The sequence below is a fragment of the Homo sapiens genome, chromosome 14, assembly GCF_000001405.40.
Source record: "Homo sapiens chromosome 14, GRCh38.p14 Primary Assembly".
Classification (NCBI taxonomy): Eukaryota; Metazoa; Chordata; class Mammalia; order Primates; family Hominidae; genus Homo; species Homo sapiens.
In genome coordinates this window covers 105,687,077-105,701,322 of record NC_000014.9, presented here as the reverse complement: position 1 = coordinate 105,701,322, position 14,246 = coordinate 105,687,077, and the positions used below count along the sequence as shown (strand labels likewise).

The 14,246-nt window shown below is 56.5% G+C and overlaps 1 gene, besides 2 other annotated features; it reads left to right on the top strand.

The window, feature by feature from the left end:
* The window catches only part of IGH (immunoglobulin heavy locus), a 1,293,408-nt gene that overhangs the window by 1,178,522 nt on the left and 100,640 nt on the right, over positions 1-14,246 (top strand).
* Positions 59-380: an enhancer (HS3 enhancer).
* Positions 4,669-5,043: an enhancer (HS12 enhancer).

The following is a 14,246-nucleotide window of genomic DNA, read 5'->3' as shown; positions in this document are numbered from 1 at the left end:
AGAAGACCAGCCCAGGCCCTGTGAGCTACACCCAGCCCCAGCCCCTAAGGGGTCGCCAGGTCTCGACTTAGCACTGGGGAGGGGGTACAGTACAGGAGTGGGGACAGGAAGGTGAGGGGAGGCCATGCCGTTTGTATTCTCTTGCTTTTCTCTCTCTCCTGAAGCCTCTTGAATAGACCTGCAGAAATACCCAAAATAGCCCTGTGGGGTGGCTGAGTCATTGTGAACACAGCCCAGGTCAGGTGTTCCAGCCAGAGAACTGCTGTTCTGAGAAACATGCCCCAAAACCGAGACCTGGCCAGGTGTGCCTGGGGCCTGAGCGAGGGGCTGCAGCCACAGGTAGGCCCAGCCCCAACCAGCCCAGGGTCAGCTAGGGCTTTCCAGGTCCAGGGTTAGGCAGAGGTCAGCCAGGGTCAACCATGGTCTATCTGAGGGGAGAGACAAGAGACACAGAGACATAGAGAGAGAGAGAGACAGGGATGGGGAGAGACAAGAGAGACAGGAAAGGAGAGACAAAGACAGACACAGAGAGAGAGATGGGGATGGAGAGAGATAAGAGACAGGGACAGGGAGGGACAGAGGCGAGGCCAGTGACAGAGACAGAGTTACAAGAGACAGAAAGAGAGAGAGATGAGATGAGAGAGATAAGAAGAAACGGAGACAGAGATGGGAGAAAAAGAGAGGAGATGGGAACAGGGAAAAAGAGACATGGAGACAGACATGCAGAGAGAACACAACAGAGGCAGAGAACACACAGGGAGAGAAAGAGGCAGCAAGATGGGCCCAGGAACTCAGCTGCAAGCCCCTCTCACACAGTCACTCTCACAAACACACACCACGACTATTATACAACATTCACACACAAACACACAGAAACATACCCACGCTCACAGCCACACACTAAGTCACTGTCACATCCATACCCACACTCACACCCAAACACACATGGCCCAGGAGCAAATGGGGAGACCTCAGCCTGCAGCTGGGAGCGGCCGAGCGGGCGCTGGGCCAGAGTCGGGGCCTGTCTGTGGGTGGGGGGCACGGCAGCACGGGCCCACCTGCACCTACAAGGCCTGGCCCCCGAGGTCACTGGGCCACCACCCAGCCCTCGCCCTGTTCCCCGTCTGTGCTGGCCGGGGCAGGACTCTGAGCCTCCAGGAAACCTGCAGATCCACACAGGACCCGGAACATCGGGCTGGGGTGGGTAACAACATGGGAGAGGCGGGAGCAGGAGGTCCCAGGACCCTGCGCACTGCGACCCCAGCCCTGGGGGCTGAAGCCCAGGACAGCCTCAGGTCTCCCAGGAGGGACTGGACAGTGGGGGATGGTCAGAGAACAGGAGAGCCAGCAGGGTGCAGCCCGAGGACAGGGATGGACGCTGGGAGGTCAACAGGACAGGGGCAGGGGCCGTGGAGTGGGCGAAGGTCCTGGAGGGCCTAGAGAACCTGTGGGTCCGTGTTTGTGGGAAGGAGGCCAGGAGCAGCCCAGAGTGGCCAGGCTGGCAGGGGTGAGGAGGTGGGGGCAGTGAGGTGAGGGTGACCGAGCCAGTGAGGCCTCTGGCCAGGGAGGGGACCTTGGCTGGGCTCTGACTGAACCCAGGGCTCCTGGAGAAGGGGCCCCAGGCGGGGATGAGGATGTGGGCATCTGACTCCATCAACAATGGGGCTTCCAACACGCACAGCCTGGGCCTCGGAGACCTGGGCCCTGACCCGCCTCCCCCTGGCACTGGGCCGGGTGCCGTGTGTGGTCCCCAGTCCCCGCAGCACCTCCCCCACACTGGTCACGTTCCAGGGCCCCTCTGAAGCACCTGCTGTGAGGGGATGTGGGGAGGGGACAGGGACTTGGGCCTGAGCTGCCGGGTCGGGGGGGAGTCGGGGACCCAGGCTCAGCGTGTGGCTGGGGACCAGACAGATGGGGATGGAGGAGGACACGCCCTGTACCCACTGCCTGCCAAGGGGCTGGACCCACGCCCAGTCTAGGCCATGTCCCCCGAGGCCTGTGAACCTTCACTCTGAGCCACTAAAACATTCAGGAGCTTTGAAAGCAGCCCCCGTCCTTGTCACTATGCGATGACTCTGAGCATCACGCTGTCCCTGCTGGATCCACCCTCCAGCCCCAGCGAGGGAGGCTGGGCCCCGGGCAGCAGGTGGTGAGGGCAGCGGGCACAGCCACCCTACAGCACACACAGGGTCTCAGGGACGCGTCCACCACAGCCCGTGCACAGGCTCCTCACGGCACTGAGTTCACCCGGGGCGCGGGCCGTTTGTCCTCAGGAGTCCCGCTGTACCCTCCGCCCCCAGCCCTGTCCTGCTGAGGCTGCAGCTGGGTCCCGGGGCACAGGGCGGCCCTGAGCACTTTGTCATCTTGGTCCCTGTCGGGTGGGCTGCTGGCTGTCTGTGGAGCTGGCAGAGCCGCGGTTCAGCCTTGGAGGCCGGTCCTGGGGCCCAGCAGCCGTGGGGAGCACTGCCCAGTCCCGTGCCCACAGGGAATCACCTGGGCTGAGGAAGGGCCCACACGCCGACGGGATCGGGGTCAGGCAGCGCACGCCTGGCACCGAGATCCCACGTCCCGAAGTGGGGACACGGCCCAGGGGCACTGTTCCGGGAGGGTCTCAAGATGGGGTCTCCTATTTCAATCTTCACTCCTTCTGCACCTGTTAGCTGGGAACCTTCTAGAAGGAGGGGTGTCCTCAATCATGGGGTGGTTGTGAGCTGAGCACAGATCATGCAGGAAGGTACATGGCTTCTCCTTCACCAGGAAAACAGTGCAGAGAGACAGAGACACAGAGACAGAGACAGAGTAACAGAGAAAGAGAGACAGAGAGAGACACAGAGACAGAGACAGAGTAACAGAGATAGACAGAGAGACACAGAGACAGAGACAGAGTAACAGAGATAGAGAGACAGAGAGAGACACAGAGACAGAGTAACAGAGAAAGACAGAGAGACAGAGACAGAGACAGAGTAACAGAGAGACAGAAAGAGACAGAGACAGAGTAACAGAGATAGAGAGACAGAGAGAGAGATAGAGACAGAGGCAGGCACAGAGATAAGAAAGATACACAGAAACAGAGAGAGACAGAGATAGATAGTCACTGTCACATTCATACCCACGCTCACCTGCTCACACACTCACACACTCACCTCACACTCACACACACTCTCACACTCACAGTCACTTACACTCACACACAGTCACACACACACAGTCACACACACACTCACAAACACACTCACACACTCACACACACTCTCACACACACACTGAGCTTCCCTCAGGCCCTGTCACTTCCGATGGGGCCTACGGCCTGTCTAAGCCTCTGGGCCACCAGCCCCTGGCTCACCGGTGTGTGCCCACCACACCCCGCCTTGGGGGTCCCCTCTATGAGCTGGGCACATGCCCTCCGCTCTGTTCATGGCTGGCCTGGGGGAAACAGGGCCCACCCAAGGCCTGGCTCAGGGAAGGCCTCAAACACACATGGCCCAGGAGCAAAGGGGCAGAGCTCAGCCTGCAGCTGGGAGCGGGCAGGGGTAGTGGAGTGGGCAGAGGGCCTGGAGAACCTGCAGGGCTCCGATGTCTCTGGGAAGGGGGCCCAGGAGCAGCTCAGCGTGGCTGGGCCGGCAGGGGCGAGGAGGTGGGGGCCGTGAGGGAGGGGTGACTCGGCTGTGTGGGGTGCCGGGGGACACGGGCTTTGCTCCGGCTGAGCCCAGGCAGTGGCGAATCCCTGAGCTGCCAGGAGGAGAGCAGGGCCGGGGTCAGGCAGAGGTGGGCCGCGGGGCCGAGGGCTGCGGCCGGTCGGGAGCAGTCGGTCGGTTGAGGGCACCATTACATGGAGGGCTGTGAGACGGGAGACCCCATTCCCTTCATTCCTTGTGCACGTGTTAGTGAGGAAACTTCTAGAAGGAGGGCATTGCTCGTAGTGGGTGAGTGTGAGCACAGATCATGCAGGCTGGCGTGCTGCCGTGAAGTGCCTCTCTTTACTTTCCAGACCTCAGCATGGCAAGCCCGTCCTGCGCCCCAGGGTCTTTCTGGAGTACACGCCGCGCGGTCCTGGTGGGCACCATACCTGGCACCCACGCTTTGGCCGGGCCCGAACCTTGCGCCCTCCCAGCCCCCATGTGGCTCTCCCTTGGCCATACTGGCCTTTTGCCAGTCCTCCTACCTCACCCTAGGGTCTGCCTGGCCCTGCCCTCCCTTCCTAGCCCCCCAAGGAGGCTGGAGGGCACCCCTGCGTCCACCAGCAGCAGCTCCTCATGGGCGAGTCTCCTTGGGCCAGTGACACATAGTGTGCCCCGATGGTGCCACGGCAGCCTGGGCCCTCCGCCTTCCTGCTTGGCAGGCACCCCCGCTCCCTGCACCCTCACCGGGGCACCTGTGAGCCCTGAGGGCCAGTGGGGGTCTCACTGCTGCTCCCTCCCACAGCCTAGCCTCGGGCCTCAGGGCTCTGCATCCAAGCGGCCCAGGGCTCCCTGCGGTCTCAGCCCGAGTGGGCCTTTGAGCCTTCGCGTTCTCTGCAGGGTGGGACCTGCCCAAGGGCTGCTGAGGGCTTCCCAGGGGTCCTGTGGGTCCCACCTAGGGGCAAGCTGGTGAGGAAAGTGGGTCCTGCCATGGCGGCCGGGTGGGCTGAGTTTTCGGCATCTCTGGGCCCAACAGCAGGTCCCTGGAGCGGCGCCCACCCCTCCCCCAGGCAGGTGTGAGGGCTCTGATCTGTTTCTCCTTGAGTGACTCATTCTGGGCAGACTTGGCCCTCAGGGCACATGCAAATGGTTGTTTGTTCCACACCGAAAACATGTTTCTTGCCCTCTGAGGCTGTTTCCAGAAATAGCTTGCACGATTCTCCACCTGCAGCTGCAGCCGCCACCCACCCAGTGTGGCCAGGCTGGCCCAGGCCTCCAGATTCGGGGACACCCCCCGCCCCCTCCCCCAGCGTGGCCAGGCTGGCTCAGGCCTCCAGATTCGGGGACACCCGCCCCCTCCCCCAGGACAGGCCCACTTGGGTTACTGACACTGGGACCACCCTGCAAACGTCAACTTTATTGAATTCAGTGGTTCTGAACTTGTTGCCATCTTTGGGACCAGGACCCAGGGGCAGCCCCCAGGTTGGCAGGAAGGGCAGGGGAGCCAACGCTGGCAGGGCCCCCAGCCAACCCCCACCCCAGAAGCCCCAAGGAGGCTGAGCGGAGGTGGCCCTGGTGGCCTGGGCACAGGCAGCCCGATTGGTACAGGGCCGGTCTGGTGCAGGCCCGCACCTCCCCCACCCTCATGGCCTGGTGGTCCCCACTGTACAGAGAGAACACTGAGGCTCAGCAGGGCCAGGGACATGGCCTGAGGTTACATGGTGATGGGGGCTGGGTCTCCGGGCCTGGGGGCCGTGGTGGGTGCAGCACCCGGACTGCGTGGGCTGTGGCCTCCCTGCTCCCAGCTCTGTCACACCCGTCTCCATCTGAGCCTCCAGCTCCATCTTTCCCGCTGTCCCTGTCTCTGGCTACCCTTCTGTCTCCCTGTCTCTCTGCCTCTCTGAAGGTATCTCCCTGCCCGAATCTCTGTCTCTGTCCCATTGTCGGTGTCTCTGACTCATCTCTGTCAAGCCCGTCTGCTGGGCTTTGTCCCGCCATCTTGCCTGTCTTGGCCTCTCTCTCTTTCTGTGTGTCTCCGTCGGTGCCTCCTTTCTCCATCCATCTCTCCCCCGTGTCTGTCTCTATCCCTCCGTCTCTCTTCCCGTCTATCCCTCCCTCTGTGCCTGTCCCTTTGCTGTGTCCCTTTCTTTGCCTCTGTCTCTCTGTCTGTCTCTTCGTGTCCCTGTGTGTCTCTCTCTGTCTCTCTGCTTCTATCTCTGTCTTTCTGTATCTCTGTCTATATCTCAGCCTCTTTGTGTCCCTGTGTGTGTGTCTCTCTCTTCTCTGTCTTTCCATGCCTCTGTCTATATCTCTGTCTCTCTGCCTCTGTATCTCTGTCTGTCTGTTCGTGTCCCTGTGTATGTCTCTCTCGGTCTCTTTCTGTATCTCTGTCTATATCTGTCTCTCTCATCTGTCTCTTCCTGTGTGTGTCTCTCTGTCTCTCTGCCTCTGTCTCTCTCTCTCTGTCTCTTCATCTCTGTCTCTGCCTCTGTGTCATTTTGTGTGTGTTTCTCTATGTCTCTCTGTCTGTGTCTCTTCCTCTCTGTAGCTCTCCCTCTCTCTGTCTCTCCTTATACCTCTCTTTCTCTCTCTCTGTTTCTTTCTCTGTCTCTTTTTGTCTTTCTCTGTCTCTCTGTCTCTGTCTCTTCCCCTCTATATATCTCTGTCTTTCTGTTGCTGTCTGTCTCTGTTTCTCTTCAGCCCTCTCTGTCTCTCTTTGTCTCTGTCTTTCTCTGCCTTTCTAACTCTCTTTCTCTGTCTCTCTGTCTCTATCTCAGTCTCTCTTCTTATCTCTGTCTCTATCTCTCTCTGTCTCTCACTCTCTGTATCTGTCTTTCTCTTATCTCTATTGCTCTGTCTCTATCTCTGTCTCTCTCATCTCTATCTCTGTCTCTATCTCTCTTTCTGTCTCTCTGTATCTCTCTGTATCTCTGTCTCTGTAACTCTCTTTATCTCTTACTGCCTCTGTTTCTCTCACTCTGTCTCTGTCTTTCTTTATCTCTGTCTTGGTCTCTGTCTCTCTGTAACTTTATCTCTGTCTCTCTGTTTCTATCTCTGTTTTTCTCTGTCTGTCTCTGCCTATATCTCTGTCTCTCTTTATCTGTCTCTCTGTCTCTGTGTATCTCTGTCTCTCTGTAACTTTATCTCTGTCTTTTTCTGTCTCTGTGTCTGTGTGTCTGTCTCTGTGTCTCTGTTTTTCTCTCTCTCTCTCTCTGCCTATTTTTCTCTCTCTGTCTCTGTCAATGTCTCTTTCTGGATCTGTGTTTCTTTCTCTCTGTCTCTGTCTCTCCATCTCTGTCTCTATCTATCTGTCTCTCTGTAACTCATCTCTGTCTCTATTTGTGTCTGCATGTCTCTTTCTGTGTCTCTGTTTCTCTCTCTGTTTCTGTCTCTTTGTTTCTCTGTCTCTGTGTCTTTCTCTCTGTCTCTGTCTGTATCTCTGTGTTTCTATTTCTCTGTCTCTCTCTGTCTCTGTCTCTCTCTTTCTCTGTTACTCTGTTTCTGTCTCTGTGTCTCTGTCTCTCTGTAACTCCTCATCTCTGTCTCTATTTGTGTCTGCATGTCTCTTTCTGTGTCTCTGTTTCTCTCTGTCTCTGTCTCTCTGTTTCTCTGTCTCTGTCTCTGTGTCTTTGTCTCTGTCTGTATCTCTGTGTCTCTATTTCTCTGTCTCTCTTTCTCTCTCTGTCTCTGTCTCTCTGTCTTTCTCTGTTACTCTGTCTCTGTCTCTGTGTGTCTCTCTCTGCCTCTCTGTCTTTCTCTGTTACTCTGTCTCTGTCTCTCTCTGTCTCTCTCTGTTACTCTGTCTCTGTCTCTGTGTCTCTCTGTCTGTCTTTCTCTGTTACTCTGTCTCTGTCTCTGTGTCTCTCTCTGTCTCTCTGTCTTTCTCTGTTACTCTGTCTCTGTCTCTGTGTCTCTCTCTGTCTCTCTTTCTCTGTTACTCTGTCTCTGTCTCTCTCTGTCTCTCTGTCTTTCTCTGTTACTCTGTCTCTGTCTCTGTGTCTCTGTCTCTCTGTCTTTCTCTGTTACTCTGTCTCTGTCTCTGTGTCTCTCTCTGTCTCTCTTTCTCTGTTACTCTGTCTCTGTCTCTCTCTGTCTCTCTGTCTTTCTCTGTTACTCTGTCTCTGTCTCTGTGTCTCTGTCTCTCTGTCTTTCTCTGTTACTCTGTCTCTGTCTCTGTGTCTCTCTCTGTCTCTGTCTTTCTCCGTTACTCTGTCTCTCTCTCTGTCTCTCTGTGACTCTATCTGTTACTCTGTCTCTGTCTCTGTGTCTCTCTGTCTCTCTTTCTCTGTTACTCTGTCTGTGTCTCTGTGTCTCTCTCTCGTCTGTCTTTCTCTGTTACTCTGTCTCTGTCTCTGTGTCTCTGTCTCTCTGCACTGTTTTCCTGGTGAAGGAGAAGCCATGTACCTTCCTGCATGATCTGTGCTCAGCTCACAACCACCCCATGATTGAGGACACCCCTCCTTCTAGAAGGTTCCCAGCTAACAGGTGCAGAAGGAGTGAAGATTGAAATAGGAGACCCCATCTTGAGACCCTCCCGGAACAGTGCCCCTGGGCCGTGTCCCCACTTCGGGACGTGGGATCTCGGTGCCAGGCGTGCGCTGCCTGACCCCGATCCCGTCGGCGTGTGGGCCCTTCCTCAGCCCAGGTGATTCCCTGTGGGCACGGGACTGGGCAGTGCTCCCCACGGCTGCTGGGCCCCAGGACCGGCCTCCAAGGCTGAACCGCGGCTCTGCCAGCTCCACAGACAGCCAGCAGCCCACCCGACAGGGACCAACATGACAAGGTGCTCAGGGCCGCCCTGTGCCCCGGGACCCAGCTGCAGCCTCAGCAGGACAGGGCTGGGGGCGGAGGGCACAGCCGGACTCCTGAGGACAAACGGCCCGCGCCCCGGGTGAACTCAGTGCCGTGAGGAGCCTGTGCACGGGCTGTGGTGGACGCGTCCCTGAGACCCTGTGTGTGCTGTAGCGTGGCTGTGCCCGCTGCCCTCACCACCTGCTGCCCGGGGCCCAGCCTCCCTCGCTGGGGCTGGAGGGTGGATCCAGCAGGGACAGCGTGATGCTCAGAGTCATCGCATAGTGACAAGGACGGGGGCTGCTTTCAAAGCTCCTGAATGTTTTAGTGGCTCAGGGTGAAGGTTCACAGGCCTCGGGGGACATGGCCTAGACTGGGCGTGGGTCCAGCCCCTTGGCAGGCAGTGGGTACAGGGCGTGTCCTCCTCCATCCCCATCTGTCTGGTCCCCAGCCACACGCTGAGCCTGGGTCCCCGACTCCCCCCCGACCCGGCAGCTCAGGCCCAAGTCCCTGTCCCCTCCCCACATCCCCTCACAGCAGGTGCTTCAGAGGGGCCCTGGAACGTGACCAGTGTGGGGGAGGTGCTGCGGGGACTGGGGACCACACACGGCACCCGGCCCAGTGCCAGGGGGAGGCGGGTCAGGGCCCAGGTCTCCGAGGCCCAGGCTGTGCGTGTCGGAAGCCCCATTGTTGATGGAGTCAGATGCCCACATCCTCATCCCCGCCTGGGGCCCCTTCTCCAGGAGCCCTGGGTTCAGTCAGAGCCCAGCCAAGGTCCCCTCCCTGGCCAGAGGCCTCACTGTCTCGGTCACCCTAACCTCACTGCCCCCACCTCCTCACCCCTGCCAGCCTGGCCACTCAGGGCTGCTCCTGGCCTCCTTCCCACAGACACTGACCCACAGGTTCTCCAGGCCCTCCAGGACCTTCTCACACTCCACAGCCCCTGCCCCTGTCCTGTTGACCTCCCAGCGTCCATCCCTGTCCTCAGGCTGCACCCTGCTGGCTGTCCTGTTCTCTGACCATCCCCCACTGTCCAGTCCCTCCTGGGAGACCTGAGGCTGTCCTGGGCTTCAGCCCCCAGGGCTGGGGTCGCAGTGCGCAGGGTCCTGGACCTCCTGCTCCTGCCTCTGGCATGCTGTTACCCACCCCAACCTCCCCAGCCCGATGTTCGGGGTCCCGTGTGTATCTGTGGGTTTCCCCGAGGCTCAGAGTCCTGCCCCGGCCAGCACAGACGGGGAACAGGGCGAGGGCTGGGTGGTGGCCCAGTGACCTCGGGGGCCAGGCCTGGGGTGTGCAGGTGGGCCCGTGCTGCCGTGCCCCCCACCCACAGACAGGCCCCGACTCTGGCCCAGCACCCGCTCCGCCGCTCCCAGCTGCAGGCTGAGCTCTGCCCATCTGTTTCTGGGCCATGTGCATGTGTGTTTGGAGCCTTTCCTGAGCCAGGCTTTGGGTGGGCCCTGTTTCCCCAGGCCACCGATGAGCAGAGCGCTGTCAGCTTACCGAGGGGACCCCCGAGGCAGGGTTTCGTGGGCACACACCAGTGAGCCCTGGAGCTGGTGGGGGGTGAGCGTGTGAGGGTGGGAGCGTGTGAGCATGGGTACAAATGTGACAGTGACTTAGCGTCGGGGTTTGAGTGTGGGTGGGGGTGTAAGTGTGGGTGAGGGTGTGAGTGTGGAAGTGTGTTAGTGAGTATATGAATGTGAGGGTGAGTGTGAGTGAGGGTGTGAGTGTGTATAGGCGTGTGGGTTGTGTGTATAGGAAGTGTGCGTGTTGTGTGTGTGTATAGGAGGTGTATGTGTTGTGAGTGTGTGATAGTTGCATGTGTTGTGTGTGTATAGGTCTATGGGTTGTGTGTGTGGTGTATGGGTTGTGTATGAATGTGTGGTGTATGGGTTGTATGTGTGTATAGGTATATGTGTTGTGTGTTTTTGTGGTACATGAGTTTGTGTGTGTGTATAGGTGTATGGGTTGTGTGTGTGGTGTATGGGTTGTATGTGTGGGTGGTGTATGCGTGTGTGTATGAGTGTTTCGTGTATGTGTTGTGTGTGTGGTGTGGTATATGTGTGTGTGAGTGTGTGGTGTATGGGTTGTATGTGTGTATAGGTGTATAGGTTGTGTGTGAGTTTGTGGTATATGGGTTATGTGTGTGAGTGTGTGTACAGGCGTATGGGTTGTGTGTGAATGTGTGGTGTATGGGTTGTGTATGAGTGTGTGTAGGTGTGTGGCTTGTTTATGAGTGTGTATACAGGTGTATGGGTTGTGAGTGTGTGGGTATGGTTTGTGTATGTGGTCTGTGGGTTGTGTATGAGTGTGTGGTGTATAAGTTGTGTGTGTATATAGGTGTACGGGTTGAGTGTGAGTTTGTGGTATATGGGTTGTATGTGTATATAAGTGTATGGGTTGTGTGTGAGTGTGTGGTGTATGGGTTGTGTGGGGGGGGGTGTACGGCTTGTTTATGAGTGTGTGTATAGGTGTATGGGTTGTGTGTGTGGTTATGGCTTGTGTGTGTTTATGGTCTGTGGGTTGTGTGTGTGCTGTATGAGTTGTGTGTGTGTGTATAGGTGTTTGGTTGTGTGTGTTTGTGGTATATGGATTGTGTGTGAGTTTATGTATAGATGTATGGGTTGTGTGTGAGTGTGTGGTGTATGAATTGTGAGTGTGAGTGTGTATAGGTGTATGTGTTGTGTGTGCAGTGTATGGGTTGTGTGTGTGAATGTGTATAGGCATATGGGCTGTGTGTGTGTGTGGTTATGGCTTGTGTGTGTTTGTGGTCTATGGGTTGTGTGTGTGGTGTATGAGTTTGTGTGTGTGGTGTATGGGTTGTGTGTGTGGCATATGGGTGTGTGTATAGGTGTATCATTTGTGTGTGAGCGTGTGGTATATGGGCTGTGTGTGAGTGTGTGGTATATGGGTGTGTGAGTGTGTATAAATGTATGGGTTTGTGTGGTATATAGATTGTGAATGTGTCTGTGGTGTATGGGTTGTGTGTGGTGTATGGGTTGTGTGATTGTGTATAGGTGTATGGGTTGTGTGTGAGTGTGGTATATAGTTTGTGTGAGTGTGTGGCATAAAGTTTGTGAGAGTGTGGTATATGGGTTGTGTGTGGTATATGGCTGTGAGAGTGTATATAGGTGTATGGTCTGTGTGTGAGTGTGTAGCATATAGTTTGTGGGTGTATGTGGTGTAGTTGTGTGAATGTGTGGTGTATGGGCGTGTGAGTGTGTATAGGTATATGGGCTGTGTGAGAGTGTGGTATATGGGTTGTGTGTGTGTGCTCTATGAGTGTGTGTAAGTGTATGCTCTGTGTGTGTATGGGGGGTGTGTGTGTGTATATATAGGGGTAGGGGTTGTGAGTGTTTTGTGTATGGGTGTGTATGTATGTACACGGGGTGTGTGTGTGGGACATGGGTGTGTGTGTATATGTGTATGTGTTATATATGTGAGTGTGGTATATATAGTGTGGTGTGTATATAGTGTATGCGCTGTGTGTGGTGTATGTGTGTGTGTGTATATATGTATGGGTTGTGTGTGTGGTATGTGTTGTATGTGGGAAATAGGTGTGTGAGTGTATATGTGCGCGCGCTGTGTGTGTGTGTGTTATATATGTGTGTGTATATGTGTATGGGTTATGTGTGAGTGTGTGCTACATAGTTTGTGGTGTGAGTGTGTACTGTATGGGCTGTGTGTGTGGTGTGTGGGTGTGTGCGTATAGGTGTATGGGTTGTGTGTGTGTGGTGTATGGGTTGTATGTGGTATATGGGTGTGAGTGTGTATAGGTGTATGGGTTGTGTGAGTGTGTATAGGTGTATGGGTTGTGTGTGAGTGTCTGATGTATGGGTTGTGTGTATGTGGTATATGGGTATGTGAGTGTGTGGTATATAGTTTGTGAGTGTGAGTGTGTGGTGTATGAGCTGTGTGTGTGTGGTATATGGGTGTGTGAGTGTATATAGGTGTATGGTTGGTGTGTGACTGTGTGGTACATAGTTTGTGAGTGTGAGTGTGTGGTGTATGGGTTGTGCGTGTTTGGTATATGGGTGTGTGAGTGTGTGGTATATAGTTTGTGAGTGTGAGTGTGTGGTGTATGAGTTGTGTAGGTGTGTGGTGTATGGGTTGGGTGGGAGTGTGTGGGACGTGACTGGATAAGTTCGTGAGTGTGAGTGTGTGGCTGTGGGTGTCTGTGTGTCTCTGGGTGTGTGTGGATGGGGGTATGTGGGTGTGAGTGTGTGTGTGAGGTGTGGGTGTGGGGGTGCACTGCGTGTCCTCCCTGGGGGTGGCCCCTGAGAGTCGGGGCCTGAGCCCGGATGTCTCCGTGACTCTGCATGTCTCCCTCTGCCTCCGTCTCTCTGCTTTGTGTCTGTCTCTGTCATCCCTGCCTCGCTGGAAAGGTGACTGGATAAGTTCGTGAGTGTGAGTGTGTGGCTGTGGGTGTCTGTGTGTCTCTGGGTGTGTGTGGATGGGGGTATGTGGGTGTGAGTGTGTGTGTGAGGTGTGGGTGTGGGGGTGCACTGCGTGTCCTCCCTGGGGGTGGCCCCTGAGAGTCGGGGCCTGAGCCCGGATGTCTCCGTGACTCTGCATGTCTCCCTCTGCCTCCGTCTCTCTGCTTTGTGTCTGTCTCTGTCATCCCTGCCTCTGCCCCATCCCTCTGGGTCCTAGAATCTGTCCAAGTCTGGGGCCGCCTCCCAGGAAGCCCCACAAGTGTCCACCAAGGGATGCACGGAGGACAAACTGCAGTGCACACATACGAGGAGGCTGAGTCACCAGAGCCTCCACGCTAGTCCTGCCCCGACTCCCCGGGTCAGGGCTCCAGGCCCCAAGCGCCGCCCGGCTCCCCCCTGGGCTGGGGCCTGTATGGGGCTGGGAGTCTGGAGGCTCAGCCCTGCGGGGGAGGTGTGAGCAAACCCGCCTGCACTGCGAACCAAGCACAGGCCATCCCCTGACACTCAGACACGCAGAGACGTGCACAGACACATACACATACGCACAGACACACAGACATGCACACACAGAAACGCACAGACACACAGACATGCACACACAGAAACGCACAGACACACACAGACATGCACAGAGACACACACACAGAGTCATGCACAGACATGCACAGACACACACACACACAGACACACAGACATGCACAGAGACACACACGCACAGAAATGCACAGACACACACGGACATGCACAGACACACACATATGTGCACAGAGACACACATATAGACACACATCCACATGGATGCACAGACACACAGAGACACACACAGGCAAACACATACACACACAGACACATAAAGACACAGACACACGGATATGCACACACACATACAGACACACATGCACGTGGATGCACAGACACACACCGACACACATAGAGACACACACACACACAGACACATAAAGACACACACAGACATGCCCGCACACAGGCACCCCCTCCCGCAGGTCACGCTTGCAGCCCCTGGCCACTGTCCTGCCCCGTGTCATGAACCTGCCTCCCCTGTTGCTCCACGCCAGGACATTGCTGCCTGACCACAGCCTGGACCACCTGCTCAGCCCTATCAGTGCGGACAAAGGCCTTGTCCTGGCGGTGACAATGAGCCAGGCCCACTGCACACTTGTCCACACCACACACCTGTCCACCCCACACACCTGTCCACCCCACACACCTGTCCACCCCACACACCTGTCCACACTACACACCCGTCCGCATCACGCACAACCGCACACCTCCAGCTCATCCACCACTCACTGCACACACGCTTGCATCTCACACGCTCATGCTCACACTCATGCACTAACACACACATTCTCCCACCTGTTGCCAAGCTCACACACGTGCA